Source organism: Homo sapiens, chromosome 19 (genome assembly GCF_000001405.40).
Source record: "Homo sapiens chromosome 19, GRCh38.p14 Primary Assembly".
Taxonomy (NCBI): domain Eukaryota; kingdom Metazoa; phylum Chordata; class Mammalia; order Primates; family Hominidae; genus Homo; species Homo sapiens.
The window spans coordinates 18,631,391-18,646,643 of NC_000019.10; the positions used below are offsets into that span (position 1 = coordinate 18,631,391).

The following is a 15,253-nucleotide window of genomic DNA, read 5'->3' on the forward strand; positions in this document are numbered from 1 at the left end:
CTCTACAAAAAAAAAAAAATGCAAAAATTAGCTGGGCGTGGTGGCGCACACCTGTGGTCTCAGCTACTCGGGAGACTGAGGTAGGAGGATCACTTGAGCCCAGGAAGTCAAGGCTGCAGTGAACTGAGGTTGCACCACTGCACTCTGGGTGACAGAGTGAGACCCTGTCTCAAAAAAATAAATAAATAAAAATAAAATAATAAAATTAGAAAGGCATGGTGGCATATGCCTTATAGTTCTAGCTACTCAGGAAGCTGAGGAGGGAGCATGGCTTGAGCCCAGGAATTGGAGGTTACAGTCAGCTATGATCGTGCCACTGCACTCCAGCCTAGGTGACAGAGCGAGACGAAGACCCTGTCTTTCTTTTTTTTGAGCCAGAGTTTTGCTCTTGTTGCCCAAGCTGGAGTGCAATGGCATGATCTCGGCTCACTGAAACCTCCGACTCCTGGGTTCAAGCCATTCTCCTGCCTCAGCCTCCCGAGTAGCTGGGATTACAGGCATGTGCCACCACGCCCGGCTAATTTTGTATATTTATTTATTTATTTTATTTTTATTTTTATTTTTATTTTTTTTGAGACAGAGTCTCGCTCTGTCACCCAGGCTGGAGTGCAGTGGTGCGATCTGGGCTCGCTGCAAGCTCCGCCTCCCGGGTTCACGCCATTCTTCTGCCTCAGCCTCCCAAGTAGCTGGGACTATGGGCTCCCACCACCACGCCTGGCTAATTTTTTTTGTATTTTTTAGTAGAGACGGGGTTTCACCATGTTAGCCACGATGGTCTCGATCTCCTGACCTCGTGATCTGCCCGCCTCGGCCTCTCAAAGTGCTGGGATTACAGGCGTGAGCCACCACGCCCGGCCAATTTTGTATTTTTATTAGAGATGAGGTTTCTCCATGTTGGTCAGGCTGGTCTCAAACTCCCGACCTCAGGTGATCCGCCCGCCTTGGCCTCCCAAAGTGCTGGGATTACAGGCGTAAGCCACCGCACCTGGCCAAGACCCTGTCTTTTAAGAAAATGGATAAATAAAACATAAAAAAAGAAGGTAGCCAGTCGAGGTGGCTCGTGCCTGTAATCCCAGTACTTTGGGAGGCCGAAGTGGGCGGATCACCTGAGGTTGGGAGTTTGAGACCAGCCTGGCCAACATGATGAAATGCTGTCTCTGCTAAAAATACAAAAATCAGCCAGGCCTGGTGGTGGGCAACTGTAATTCCAGAGACTTGGGAGGGTGAGGCAGGAGAATCGCTTGAACCCGGGAGGTGGAGGTTGCAGTGATATGAGATCGCGCCACTGCACTCCAGCCTGGGCGACAGAGTGAGACTCTGTCTCAAAAAAACAAAACAAAACAAAAACAACAACAAAAATTTAAATAAATAAATAAAACATAAAAAAAGAAGGTGGGGCCAGTGCAGACATGACTTCAAGGAGGTGCGGGAGGCTGCTGGCTGGGGTAACAGAGAGAGATCATGGTGTTTGTCAGCAAGCCTCACTCATGATCCTGAAAGGATGTGCCGCCTCCATTAAAAAAAAATTTAGGGCCAGGCGCAGTGGCTCACGCCTGTAATCCCAACACTTTGGGAGGCTGAGGTGGGTGAATCGTCTGAGTCAGGAATCCAAGACCAGCCTGGCCAACATGGTGAAACCCTGTCTCTACTAAAAATACAAAAATTAGCCAGGCGTGGTAGTGCATGCCTGTAATCCCGGCTACTTGGGAGGCTGAGGCAGGAGAATTGCTTGAACCTCGGAGGCGGAGGTTGCGGTGAGCCAAGATTGTGCCATTACACTCCAGCCTGGTGACAGAGCGAGACTCTGTCTCAAAAAAAAAAAAAAAAGGTAAAACACAGAGTTTGTTAGATAGGAGAAAAATCAAACAGGACTGAGGACAGGGAGTTGATGTCGGGGGACCTTGGGCTTGCCCCAGGACCACTCCGTGGTGACTGCCTGATGGGGCAGACACTGTCCCCAGCCTAAAACCACAGGAACTTGAAGCCCTCCCCCAAGGCTTCACTTTCCTCCTCCATAACACCTGGGGATTGTAAGGGAGGCCTCCAAGCTCTGACCTGAGGGTGTGAGCCCTGCAGCTGGTCTGAAGTGGGAGAGCAGGTGGCGCGGGCCCTGCCTCTAGGAGAGCCGTGCCAGCTGTGGGCCAGATGGTGGCCAGGCCCGTGGATGCTGCCTGCTATGTCCCTGCCTGCCGGCTCTGCTAGACCACAGGTCATCATTACTGGATGAGGCGTGTGCAGTCACCGGCGTGGGCCCTCCAGGTCCTCCACTTGTCTCTGCTCCATGCCAGTGATAGTGGCCTCTAGAGCTCAGGCCAACAGCTCTGGCAGAGGTCACTGGCCTCACTCTGCCTCACTCGACATCCCATCTGTTCCATCTCTTTTTGGTCCCACCTGCAAAGTGCATCTCAACTAGGACTACCTCCCACCCCTCCATGTCTGTCACCCTGGGATGAGCCCTACCCATTTTTCCCTGGATTATATGCCTCCTGACTCATGTCCCAAATTCAAGATATTGTCCCCCAGTTGTCAGACACTGTTGAACAGTCAGACACTGTAACACTGTTAAATTGACACTGTTAAAACCAATGTCAGCTGGGTGCAGTGGTTCACGCTATAATCCTGGCACTTTGGGAGGCTGAGGCGGGCAGATCACTTGAGGTCAGGAGTTCGAGACCAGCCTGGCCAACATGGTGAAACCCCGTCTCTAATAAAAATACAAAAATTATGCTGGGCACAGTGGTTCACTCCTGTAATCCCAGCACTTTGGGAGGCCAAGGCAGGTGGATCACTTGAGGTCAGGAGTTTGAGACCAGCCTGTCCAACATGGTGAAACCATCTCAACTAAAAATACAAAAATTGGCTGGGCGTGGTGGCACATGCCTGTAGTCCCAGCTACTCGGGAGGCTGAGGCAGGAGAATCACTTGAACCTGGGAGGCGAAGATTGCAGTGAGCTGAGATTGTGCCACGGCACTCCAGCCTGGGTGACAGAGTGAGACTCCATCTCAAAAAAAAAAAAAAAATTAGCCAGGCATGTGGTACATGCCTGTAGTCCCAGCTACTCAGGAGGCTGAGGCAGGAGAATGGCTTGAACCCAGGAGGCGGAGGTTGCAGTGAGCTGAGATCGCACCACTGCACTCCAGGGTGGGCCACAGAGCAAGACTCCGTCTCAAAAACAAAACAAAACAAAACAAAACAAAAACCCAGTGTCAATTACATTGCCACTGCTTACAAGCCCCCTCTCCCTTCTCATTTCATGCAGAGGACCCCAAAAATGATCCCCAAAGCCCTCTGTGACCTGAAGCACCTCCTGTTGCCTCCCACCCATTCTCCTCCCCTCTCCTCTCCCTCTTCCTAATTTTTCTCTGCCAGGCCACTCTCTAGGCACGCTCCTGCCCCAGGGACATTGCACTGGCTGCCCTGTGCTATGTGATCGTGGAGGACAGATCACACAGTGTGTCCAAAGTGCAGTGAGTCTACAGCACACTATGTGTGTGTGCACAGCCAGGAGCCCAGAGAACCTCTTCTTTCTTATCTTCAGCTGTGTGTCTTGTGTGTCTGACATATGGGTCAAATCTGGATGTTTATGAAGTGTGCGTGCATATGGACACCATTGATTTCAAATGTTATTTGTGGCGGGTGTGTCAGCTGTAGGTCGCTGCTGAGTGAGGTTTGATGCCTGCATGTGGTTCGTCTGGAACAAAGACTCCTGGGGCGGTGCTGACTTAGGGCAGGCAAGGGTGTGTGTGTGTGTGTGCAGAGCTTGCCGGAACGTGAGCTGTTCATGCACGCGTGCATTCAACATTTGCAGAGTGCTTACTGTGTATTGGAGATGCCAGCAGTTCCCTTCAGCACTTGGTATCTGTCAGCTTGCACAGGGTCATCTGAGAGCATTTTGTGTAACGATTGAGCACGTATTGTTGTATCAGGCCCTCTGTTGGAGATGCTGGTTGAGTGCGGTCCAACCTGCAGGAGTCCACTCAAGCAGGCCCCTTCCTTCCTCCTATGGGGTCTCCAGCCCCATAGCCACCTCCTTCTTCCAGCACTGACGGGAAAGAAGGCTTTGAGCTCCTTCTGGATCACTGCTTTCTGCCCAAGACTGCACAAGTCAGAGTTTTCTGACTTGGAGGTTAAAAGAATAAATGAGCTCCAAGCTACAGAGGGGATCCTGGGAGCCTGGAGCTTACCAGAGATGGGGGGTGAGGGGTGCCCCCAAAAGGTCTAGATGCTTCATAGACGCCTATAGATGCAGGACTTTGAGCCCTGGCTGAGGGTCAGTGTGTTGGGAGGGCTGGTGCTTGGGGATCTGAGGGTGTTGGGTCCGGTGGAATGGACTTTGGGAGTGTAAGGTTTGAAGGATCTGTGGGCAGGGATTTGGGGGAGTGGGAGATGAGTTTTGAGTAGAGAATGGGAGATAATTGGATGTGCAGGGTTTTAGAGTATGAGAAACCAGAATTGGTGTATGAAGCAGGTGGTGGGAACCTAAGGCCAGATGATTGGGGTCTCAGGGTGGAGGCTCTGAAGAGGGTATGTCAGGGGAGGGTGGGGAACCATGAGGGGCTGGAAGTCTGAGGCCTGGGCATGGGTGAGTTTCGCCCCTGAGAGAGGCCTGGGAAGGAGGTAAGACTGGAGTCGGGGTGTGCAGGGTGGGGAGAGGGAGGGTGTGGTTCTCAGAGCTTAGAGACCCATTTCTCCATGCTCCATCTCACCCTCCCTCCCACCCTACCTATAACTCACTTCCCTGTGGCTCCAACGCCTCAAAGTATAACCACGCCCAGCCAACGCCCGGGGCACGCCTGCCAGCGCCCCAGGGCACTCACAGACACTCCTTAACACCTGCACGTGCCCCGCCCCTCCTCAGATCCGCCGCTCACTTAGCCCGGCCCCACCCCCATCAGATGAGGCTCCGCCCCCCCGGCCCCGCCAATCCCTCGCCCCCTCCACGCACACACCCCTGATCTTCCCCGCCCTCCTTCCAACCAGACTCCACCCCTCGCCCAGGCCCCGCCCTTCCTCAGACCAGGCCCTCTCTTCGCTTGACCACATCCATCCCCAGATTCCTCCTCTCTCCTGCCCAGACCCGCCCAACCTCAGACCCATCTTCTCCTTTCTACCTCCCCGACCACTCCCCCACCGCATTCCTAACCTCCACCTTGTCCCTTCTCACACCTGGCCCCGCCCTTTATCCTGCGCCCCGCCTCCTCCGCAGGCCGGACCCTTGTCCCTCCTCCTCTTGCCCTGGGCCTGCCCCTTCTTCAGACCCCGCCCCACTCCTCAGCCCAGGGACCAACCCCATCCTGCGCCTACTTGTCCTGCTTCGCCCCGTCCCCACCTATCCACAGACAATACGCCCTCTCAGCCCAGAACCGCTTCCCTTTCAGACTTGGTTCCGCCCCTCACGCCAGGGTCCCGCCCCAATCCGGCACCCCTAGCCCAGGCCCCGCCCTGGACCCACCTCTCTGCATAGCAGGCCCCTCCCTTTATCCCAGACCCGCCCCGGCCCTCCGTAGACCACGCCCCTCCGATTCCGGGCCCGCCCCAATCCTTGGTTTCTGGTCCCGGCCCCGCCCCTCCGCAGACCTGGCCCCGCCCCGCCCCCCGCGTCTCGGTTTCCCGGGCCTGCGCGCGCGGCTCCCGTCACTCGAACGCGCGACGGCGGGGGGAAGATGGCGGAGTCCGGCGGTAGCAGCGGTGGTGCTGGTGGCGGCGGCGCTTTCGGCGCGGGCCCGGGCCCCGAGCGCCCGAACAGGTGAGACCCGGCCCGCAGGATAGACCTGCACCTGTCTTGGAGCCCAGGAAACCTGTGGGCAGTCTTGGGCGTCCTGAGGGGTTGAGGGGAGGCCTGGCACGGCTCGAGGGTCTTTCGCTGAGAATTTGGACTTTACGGGGCCGTGGGGTACTGGAGGAGCCGAGGGCTACTGAGGGGGTGGCTGGAGGGGGGCTGGGTGCCCCAGGACCTCGAGGCGTCTGCAGGCGGCCCTAGGGACCTGAGAATCCTGGGGGTCTGAAGGGAAACCGAGGGGCTCTTGACTGTGGTGGGCCGTGGGGCAACTGGGGATGCCAAAGGGCCTGGGCAGCAGAGAGGGCCTGAGCAGGGGCCATGCCATGGCCAGTCTGAGGGTGGTGAGGTGTCTTGGGGGCTCTGAGGAAGGGGCTAAGGCCCAAGGCATCCTGGGAGGTGCTGAAGGGCCCCAAGGTGGCTAAAGGTGGTCCTGAGAGCGTGCTGAGGGGCGCTGGAAGGAGTAGAGACTGTGGGAGGCTCTGGGTGGGGGACTTAGGTGAATCTGGGAGTCTGAGATGGGGAGGCTGAGGGGGCCTGGGGTGGGTCTAGGGAACCTGAGGGGGGTGAGAGAACTCCAGGGGGTTTATAAAGAACATACAGAGGGTTCTTCTTTGGGGCTCCTCCCTTCCATCCCCATGGGGTCCAAATCCACATCCCCAACAGGCTAAAGGACTTACAGAAAGGTCTTGCCCTCAGACAAGGGGACAGAATTCACCCCTTTGGTCAGAGGGAGGCCCCCTTTCCCCATGGCCCAGTCCTGACATGGATTGCTTGAACGTCCAGGTTTGCATGACAATTAGTTATCATCAATAACTAATGATATGTGTGTGCATGCATTGTATTGGATTGTCAGAGGGAAAGAACACCTGCCTTAGGAGTGTGATCTCCTGCTCTTTTCCTATTGGGCAAAGCCAGACCCTCCCACCCCAGCTCCTCCTCTAGCCCAGCACCCAGGTCAGGCCAAGGAGGAAATTCAGGCTTTTTCTTGCTGGTGAGCTTCCAGGAGCCAGTAATTTCAGGCAACATGATAAATGATGAAGTTGTTTGATACTTACGTGCTGTGGAGTTTTGGACCTGTGGGCTGATTGTTGGAGGGAATGGCCTGATGGCCTGGCTGTGTGATTTGGTACTGAATGGAACACGCATGGGATGGGTGGGGAAGGGAGGAGGGATGGCTGGGCCAGGGCACAGAGGAGGCAAAGGCCCTGCCTGTTCCTGAGGATGCTGAGTGGCACCTTGAGACTTAGGTCTGTGGGCATTGAATCTGGTCTGCCAGAGGGGCCATGGGGAACCCAGGAGGTGTGTGTCCAGAGGGGTGACCAGCCTCCTGGGGTAGGTGTGGGGCAAGATTGTCCTGCAGTAGGGAGCCAGGAGATGTCAGAGGATTTTCAGAGATATTCAGGGAGTGGCCAGGGCTTGAAAATTGGGTATCAGTTGGCAAGTAAGGGACAGGGAAGAGGGACAGTGAACCCCAGGTCCCTGCCTTGGGCACTGGAGTGGGATAACCTGGGGCTAGGGCTTTTTTTATTTTTATTTTTTTGAAACCCCGTCTCGCTCTGTCACCCAGGTATCTAGGCTGGAGTGCAGTGACGCCACCAAGGCTCACCGCAGCCTCAAACTCCTGGACTCAAGTGATCCTCCCACCTCAGCCTCCTGAGTAGCTGGGACTACAGGTGTGCACCACCACACTTGGCTAATTTTTAAATTTTTTGTAAAGACCAGGTCTTGCTCTGTTGCCAGGCTGGTCTCAAACTCTTGGGCTCAAGCAATCTTCTTGCCTCACCCCTCACTAAGTGCTGAGATTACAGATGTGAGCCACCATGCTGGGCATGGCTCTTTTTTTATAAACAGCTTTATCAAGATATAATTAATTGCATGGCATACAATTCACTCATTTTGTTTTTATTTATTTATTTATTTTTTGAGACAGAATCTTGCTCTGTCACCCAGGCTGGAGTGCAGTGGCGCAATCTCGGCTCACTGCAACCTCTGCCTTCCAGGTTCAAGGGATTTTCCTGCCTCAGCCTCCTGAGTAGCTGGGACTACAGGTGCCCGCCACCATGCCTGGCTAATTTTTGTATTTTTTAAGTAGAGACAGGGTTTCACTGTTGGCCAGGCAGGTCTGGCATTCCTGAGCTCAGGTGATCCACCCGCCTCGGCCTCCCAAAGTGCTGGGATTACAGGCGTGAACTACTGCACCCAGCCAATTCACTCATTTTAATTTATCATTAAGTTTTTTTTTTTTTTTTTTTTTTTTTTGAGATAGAGTTACTCTGTTGCCCAGGCTGGAGTGCAGTAGTGTGATCTCGGCTCACTGCAACCTTTGCCTCCTGGGTTCAAGCAATTCTCCTGCCTCAGCCTCCCGAGTAGCTGAGACCACAGGTGCATGCTACCATGCCCAGCTAATTTTTGTATTTTTAGTAGAGACGGGGTTTTGCCATGTTGGCCAGGGTGATCTTGAACTGCTGACCTCAAGTGATCTGCCCGCTTCAGCCTCCCAAAGTGCTGGGATTACAGGTGTGAACCACTGTGCTCAACCCAGGTCATTAAGTTTCAGTACATTTACTGAGTTGTGCATCCTTCACCACAATCCAGTTTTTTGGAATGCTTCCATCACCCCAAAGAGTTCCCCCAAGCTCGTCTGCAATTAACCCTGCTCCACCAACATACAGCCCCGGGGACATCCTGATCTGCTTTCACTCTCTGTAGCTTTGCCTTTTCTAGAAATTTCGTAAGAATGGAATCAGACATGTGGCCTTTACGTCTGGTTTCTTTCCTTAACATAATGTTTTTGAAGTTCATCTGTGTTGTTGTATCAGAAATTTGTTCTTTTTCACTGTGGAGTGAAAATAAACAAACTGTGTCCGTCCATACAATCTCGTATGGACGGACACAGTTTGTTTATCCATTAACTGGTTGATGGACTGTTGGGTTGTTTCCATTTTGACAACTGCAAATAAAGTTGCTGTGAACATCTGGATATGTGTCTCTGTGTGGACGTATATTTTCATCCTCTTGGGTAAATACTTAAGAGTAGAATGACTAGTTCATATGGTAGATGTGTTTAAATTTCTTTTTTTTTGAGACAGGGTCTCACTCTGTTGCCCAGGCTGAAGTGCAGTGGTGCAATCACGGCTTACTGTAGCCTCTACCTCCTTGGGCTCAGGTGATCCTCCCACCTCAGCCTTCCAAGTAGCTGGTAGGTACTACAAGGGCGTATGCCACCACACCCAGCTATTTTTTCTGTGCTTTTGTTGAGACAAAGTCTTGCCATGTTGCCCAGGCTGGTCTTGAATTCCAGGGCTCAAGCAATCTTCCCACCTCTGCCTCCCAAAGTGCTGGGATTACAGGTGTGAGCCACTACGCCTGGCTATGTTTTAATTTTTTTTTTTTTTTTTTTTTTTTTGAGATGGAGTCTCTCTCTGTTGCCCAGCAGTTGTTCACTGCAACCTCTGTCTCCTGGGTTCAAGTGATTCTCCTGCTTCAGCCTCCTGAGTAGCTGGGATTGTAAGGATGCGCCACCACACTCAGCTAATTTTTGTATTTTTAGTAGAGACGGGGTTTTGCCATGTTGGCCAGACTGGTCTTGAACTCCTGACCTCAGGGGATCCGCCTGCTTCGGCCTCCCAAAGTGCTGGGATTACAGGTGTGAGCCACTGAGACTGGCCATGTTTTAATTTTTAGGAAACTGCCAAGCTTGTTCCCAAAGTGGCTGTACCATTTTGCATCCCCACCAGCAATGTTCAAGAGTTCCAGCTCCTCCTCATCCTCACTAACACCTGGTATGGCCAGTCCTTAGTTTTAGCCATTCTTATAGGTGTGTGCTGGTGTCTTCATTTGGTGTTTTTATTTATTTATTTATTTGTGAGATGAGGTCTCACTCTGTCGCCCAGGCTGGAGTGCGATGGTGCGATCCTAGCTCACTGCACCCTGGAACTCCTGGGTTCAAGCAATCTTCGGGCCTCAGCCTCTGGAATAAGTGGGATTACAGGTGTGCACACCACTGTTCCCAGTCTTATTTTGGTTTTAATTTGCATTTCTCTAATAACTAATGATGTTGGACAGTTTTTCATGAGCTTCTTAGCTATTCATCTCTTTGGTAACGTGTCTTTTCAAATGTTTGGGCCATTTTTAAGTTGGGTTGCCTTTTTTTTTTTTTTTTTTTTAAGACTGAGTCTCGCTTTGTTGCCCAGGCTGGAGTGCAGTGGTGCGATCCTAGCTCATTGTAACCTCCACCTCTTGGGTTCAAGCGATTTTCATGTCTCAGCCTCCCGAGTAGCTGGGATTACAGGTGCATGCTACCACACCCGGCTAATTTTTGTATTTTTAGTGGAGACGGGGTTTCACCATGTTGGCTAGACTGGTCTCAAACTCCTGACCTCAGGTGATCTGCCTGCCTCAGGCTCCCAAAGTGCTGGGATTAGAGGCATGAGCCACCACACCCGGCTCTTTTTCTTTTTTCTTTTTTTTTTTTTTGAGATGGAGGCTTGCTCTGTTGCCCAGGCTAGAGTGCAGTGGCGTGATCTTGGCTCACTGCAACCTCTGCCTCCCAGGTTCAAGCAATTCTCCTGCCCCAGCCTCCCGAGTAGCTGGGATTACAGGCGTGTGCCACCACACCCGGCTAATTTTTGTATTTTTAGTAGAGACGGGGTTTCTCCATGTTGGTCAGGCTGGTCTCGATCTCTTGACCTTGTGATCTGCCCGCCTCAGCCTCCCAAAGTGCTGGGATTACGGCGTGAGCCACCATGCCCGGCCCTCTTTCTTAAAAGACATCTTTGTCATTCTCCCCTATCCTCCATCCTAGTGAAAAATCACTGTTTGGAGCAACTGATAGGGGCATCTCATGCCTCAGGTGCTAGTGTGGGGAGAACCCCTAATGTGGCAAGATGGAGCATGCAGAAAATGGATCATATTTTGAGGGAGATTGGTACAAGACATTCTCCCAAAAGTCATTTTGAGACATTGAGTCTTTGTAGCATTGTTCGTCTGTTCCTTCATTTATTGCAAATGGGACAGCCAGGCCTGGAGCACGACCCACCTCCTCGCCTCAACCTGCCCACGTCTCCTTCCTCTTCATCCTTCCACTCTCCAAGGTTCTGGCCCCTCAGAGCCACCTGCCTGACCATGCAAGCTCAAGTAGTCCCCAGGACACTTTTGCTAGTCACCTAGTGTGTGTGTGTGTGTGTGTGTGTGTGTGTGTGTGTGTGTGTGTTTGAGATGGAGTTTCGCTTTTGTTGCCCAGGCTGGAGTGCAGTGGCATGGTCACTGCAACCTCCACCTCCCGGGCTCAAGCAACTGATTCTCTTACCTCAGCCTCCCGAGTAGCTGGGATTACGGGCGCCTGCCACCAAGCCTGGCTAATTTTGTATTTTTAGTAGAGGTGGGGTTTCTCCATGTTGGCCAGGCTGGTCTGGAACTCCTGACCTCAGGTGATCTGCCTGCCTGGGCCTCCCAAAGTGCTGGGATTACAGGCGTGAGCCACTGCGCCCGGCTTGTGGTTTTTTGTTTGTTTGTTTGGTTTGGTTTGAGGAAGAGTCTCACTCTGTCGCCCATGCTGGCATGCAGTGTCGTAGCTACCTGCAGCCTTCTTGACCTCCTGGGCTCAAGCTATCCTTCTGCTTCAGCCTCCCGAGTAGCTGGGACTACAGGCATCTACTAACACACCTAATTTTTTTTTTTTTGAGACATTGTCTCATTCTGTCGCCCAGGCTAGAGTGCAGTGGCACAATCTGGACTCACTGCAACCTCCACCTCCTGGGTTTAAGCGATTCTCCTGCCTCAGCCTCCTGAGTAGCTGGGATTACCAGTGCACGCCACCACGCCCAAATAATTTTTGTATTTTTAATAGAGACGGGGTTTCACCATGTTGGCCAGGGTGGTCTTGATCTCCTGACCTCGTGATCCACCTGCCTTGGCCTCCCAAAGTGTTGGGATTACAGGCGTGAGCCACTGTGCCTAGCCCACACCTGACTAATTTTTAAAAATTGTTTTGGGCCGGGCGCGGTGGCTCATGCCTGTAATCCTAGGACTTTGGGAGGCCGAGGTGGGCAGATCACTTGAGGTCAGGAGTTTGAGACCAGCCTAGCCAACATGGTGAAACCGCTTCTCTACTAAAAATACAAAAATTAGCCAGGATTGGTGGCACGTGCCTGTAATCCCAGCTACTCGGGAGGCTGAGGCAAGAGAATCACTTGAACCCGGGAGGCAGAGGTTGCAGTGAGCTGAGATCGCTCCACTGCGCTCCCACCTGGGCGAGAGAACCAGACTGTCTTAAAAAATATATATATTATTTTATAGAGATGGGGTCTTATTATTATTTTTTTTTGAGATAGAGTTTTGCTCTTGTTGTCCAGGCTATAGTGCAATGGCATGATCTCGGTTCACCAAAACATCCGCCTCCTGGGTTCAAGCGATTCTCCTGCCTCAGCCTCCCGAGTAGCTGAGATTACAGACATGTGCCACCATGCCTGGCTAATTTTGTATTTTTAGTAGAGATGCGGTTTCTCCATCTTGGTCAGGCTGGTCTCGAACTCCTGACCTCAGGTTATCCGCCCACCTTGGCCTCCTAAAGTGCTGCGATTACAGGCATGAGCCACTGTGTCCGGCCAAGATGGGGTCTGATTATGTTGCCCAGGCTGGTCTTGAACTCCTGGGCTCAAGTGATCTTCCTGCCATAGCCTCCCGAAGTGCTGGGATTACAAGCATGAACCACTATGCCCAACCTGTATTTTTGTTTTTTGTTTTTGAGGTACTATATATGTAACACAAAATTCACCCACTTTAAGTGAACAATTCAGTGGCATTTAGTACATTCACAGAATTGTGCAACCATCACTGCTGTCCAGTTCCAAAACATCTTTGTCCCCGCAAAAGGTGACCCCATCTTCATTAGCACTAACCCCCTATTCTCCATTGCCCAGCCCCTGACAATCACCAATCTGCAGTCTGTCTCTATCCGTTTTCAAGTTTTATAGGTAGAATCATGCACTATGTGGCCTTTTGAGTCTGGCTTCTTTCACTCAGCATGATGCTTTGGGGGTCATGCATGTTGTAGCCTAAATCAGCACTTCATTCCTTTTTATGGCTGAGTAATATTCCACTGTGTGGATGCACCACATCATCCATTCATCTGTTGATGGACACTTAGATTGGTTCCACCTTTTGGCTATTATGAATCATGCTGCTATGAACATGAGTGTACACATTTTTGTCTAAACACTCATGTTCAGTCCTTTGGGGTACACATCTAGGAGCAGAATTGCTGGGGCGCATGCTTGTTGTATATTCTTGATCATGCTGGTCACCACCTAACGTTATTTGTTGTGTTTCTCTGGTGCCTTGAGGTTGGAAAGCCTGTCTCTCTTGTGCCCTCTTGTGTGCCTGGAACATGAATGACACAGAAGGAGGAAGTGTCCCAGAGACGTGGCTGAGAGGGAGGAAGGGAGGGATGGGGGTGTGCAAAAGCTTATTGCTCTCTGAGGCTTGCAGTCTGGCAGGTAGGAATTCCCTTCTATGGGATCAGGTCGATCTTTTGCCTTTCCAGTGAGGCTTGTGGGGCTGCTGGGGGGCAGTGGGGGCTGGCCTTAGTCTCTAGCTGCCTTTCTAGCCTGCCAGGCAACGCCCGCATCTGCCTTTTTGTCCCACGAAGGTTTTGTCTTTTGGCCAGGGGCGGGGGCAGTTCCTGTCTTCCCCCTGGCCCTTCCAGCGGTACCACAACTCAAGAAACTGTCCCCAGGAGGGACTGCGCTCCCCCACCCCCGACCGCCCCCAACGTTATATAACTTGTTTGTTCCAACTTCTGTCTTCTGCAACCGAGGGGGAAAAAAGAAAGAGAAAAGCTTATTCTCCTTCCTTCCTATCTCGAGGGATCAACAAAAAACCCGTTGCCTAGTAGAGGTGGTCATTAATGACTGAGCCGAACCTCAGGGATGGACAGAGTGGGGCTGCCCTGGCTGGGGTGTGCGGAGAGGAGGTGGGGTCCTTGCTGCAAGCACAAAGGACACTTGTTCACCAGCTGGCCTCCTCCCAGCTCGGGCCGCGGGGTCTAGACTCCTTGGAGGGAAAGGAGGCTTGGGCCACTTGGGGTGTCGCAAGGGGAGGCAAACCCTCTGGGGAGTCGCACCTCCCCAGCTAAAATTCTGTCACTGTGAGGTACCTGACCGGCAGAGTTTTGGAGGAACCTTCTGGCCTTGCAGCCTCTCCGACATGGGCCTTTGGCATCCACGCTTTTTGGCCCACGCTCCCTGGAGACGCCTGGGTAGGGCCCAGGCTCACTGAGTCATGCTGTTCCTGGGGGTGAGGTGGGGGGATCTGGGTGAGGGATGTGCCAGCTTCAGGCATTTGCATAAGAAGTGGTGGCTAGGCTGGGTGCTTTGGCTCACTCCTGTAATCCCAGCACTTTGGGAGCCCAAGGCAGGCAGATTACAAGGTCCAGAGTTTGAGACCAGCCTGGCCAACATAGTGAAACCCCCTCTCTACTAAAAATACAAAAATTAGTCAGGTGTGGTGGTGGGCGTCTTTAATCCCAGCAACTCTGGAGGTTGAGGCAGGAGAATCGCTTGAACCTGGGAGGAGGAGGTTGCAATGAGCCGAGATCCTGCCACTGCACTCCAGCCTGAGCGACAGAGTGAGACTCTGTATCAAAAAAAAAAAAAAAAGAAGTGATGGCTGGGACGTTGTGCCCAGGGGCTTTGCTGCCTGCTGAAAGTGTTTGCATGGAAAGTTGTGGCCGAGACGCTGCGCCCGGTGGGTTTGTCACAGTCAGTCTGGCTGGGTGGCCTTTGCCTGTTGAAGCTTTCTCCACAATCTAGATCATCTCCACCAAGCCCAGAGGCCTTGGAAGGGTCCAGCCCCCCAGCTCCTGCTAGGAAGACTTAGGGGAAGAGGTGGCTTCCCAAGGAGGTTCTTGCTACTTTGGGGAAGTTCTCATTCCTTTGGCCTCTTGCCCCTTTCTTTTTTATTATTATTAATTTTTTTTGACGTCACTCTGAGCTCAGGCTGGAGTGCAGTGGCATGATTTTGGCTCACTGCAACCTCCGCCTTCTGGGTTCAAGTGATTCTCCTGCCTCAGCCTCCCAAGTAGCTGGGACTACAGGCGCCCACTACCATGCCTGGCTAGTTTTTGTATTTTTAGGAGAGATGGGGTTTCATCATGTTGGCCAGGCTGGTCTCGAACTCCTGACCTCAGGTGATCCACCTGCCTTGGCCTCCCAAAGTGCTGGGATTACAGGCATGAGCCAGTGCGCCCGGCCTCATGCCCCTTTCAGAAGGAGGATTTTGACCCTTCCAAGACGTGGACTCAAGTCCTTCTCCTGGAAAATGTGGTCAGATATGGCGGCATGAGGTGTCTCATCATACCCATGGGTGACTGTGGCTCCCTCTTTATGGGTTGTGGCTGTGACAGATTCCTCATCTGGGAAATGGGGCTCCAGGCCCACCAGGTGGGGGGTGTCTGGGAGGAAACGAGTGGGGAG

General features: G+C 52.6%; 1 protein-coding gene and 1 pseudogene across 6 annotated transcripts in view, besides 8 other annotated features; one reads left to right on the forward strand and one right to left on the reverse strand.

Annotated features, from left to right (window-relative positions):
* Positions 256–518, reverse strand: RN7SL155P (RNA, 7SL, cytoplasmic 155, pseudogene; annotated as a pseudogene).
* Positions 4,783–4,972: a silencer, noted in NCBI's record as "silent region_10412". NCBI's record gives its function as "represses an Ori minimal core promoter by ATAC-STARR-seq in GM12878 lymphoblastoid cells {active_cell/tissue: GM12878}" and the evidence as "EXISTENCE:reporter gene assay evidence [ECO:0000049][PMID:35858748]".
* Positions 5,013–5,092: a silencer, noted in NCBI's record as "silent region_10413". NCBI's record gives its function as "represses an Ori minimal core promoter by ATAC-STARR-seq in GM12878 lymphoblastoid cells {active_cell/tissue: GM12878}" and the evidence as "EXISTENCE:reporter gene assay evidence [ECO:0000049][PMID:35858748]".
* Positions 5,103–5,262: a silencer, noted in NCBI's record as "silent region_10414". NCBI's record gives its function as "represses an Ori minimal core promoter by ATAC-STARR-seq in GM12878 lymphoblastoid cells {active_cell/tissue: GM12878}" and the evidence as "EXISTENCE:reporter gene assay evidence [ECO:0000049][PMID:35858748]".
* Positions 5,309–5,603: an enhancer, noted in NCBI's record as "tiled region #5939; K562 Activating non-DNase unmatched - State 1:Tss". NCBI's record gives its function as "activates a minimal TATA promoter and a strong SV40 promoter by Sharpr-MPRA in K562 cells {active_cell/tissue: K562}" and the evidence as "EXISTENCE:reporter gene assay evidence [ECO:0000049][PMID:27701403]".
* Positions 5,309–6,076: a biological region, named in NCBI's record as "Sharpr-MPRA regulatory region 5939".
* Positions 5,313–5,822: a silencer, noted in NCBI's record as "silent region_10415". NCBI's record gives its function as "represses an Ori minimal core promoter by ATAC-STARR-seq in GM12878 lymphoblastoid cells {active_cell/tissue: GM12878}" and the evidence as "EXISTENCE:reporter gene assay evidence [ECO:0000049][PMID:35858748]".
* Positions 5,562–6,076: an enhancer, noted in NCBI's record as "H3K4me1 hESC enhancer chr19:18747762-18748276 (GRCh37/hg19 assembly coordinates)". NCBI's record gives its function as "activates a minimal SCP1, AML or CMV promoter by ChIP-STARR-seq in naive H9 embryonic stem cells {active_cell/tissue: H9 hESC(naive)}" and the evidence as "EXISTENCE:reporter gene assay evidence [ECO:0000049][PMID:30033119]".
* Positions 5,638–15,253, forward strand: part of KLHL26 (kelch like family member 26) — a 34,694-nt gene continuing 25,078 nt past the window's right edge. For 5 of the 6 annotated variants that reach the window (NM_001345982.2, NM_018316.3, NM_001345981.2 and 2 more), the window contains exon 1: positions 5,638–5,747. Coding sequence is in view for 4 of the 6 variants with exons in the window: in NM_018316.3 (NP_060786.1) it covers positions 5,665–5,747 (83 nt within the window). In the remaining 2 variants the exon portion in view is untranslated. Of the gene's footprint in view, positions 5,748–13,247; positions 13,277–15,253 lie in introns of those variants that run through there. The other variant, NM_001345983.2, reaches the window with a different exon arrangement.
* Positions 6,077–6,591: an enhancer, noted in NCBI's record as "H3K4me1 hESC enhancer chr19:18748277-18748791 (GRCh37/hg19 assembly coordinates)". NCBI's record gives its function as "activates a minimal SCP1, AML or CMV promoter by ChIP-STARR-seq in naive H9 embryonic stem cells {active_cell/tissue: H9 hESC(naive)}" and the evidence as "EXISTENCE:reporter gene assay evidence [ECO:0000049][PMID:30033119]".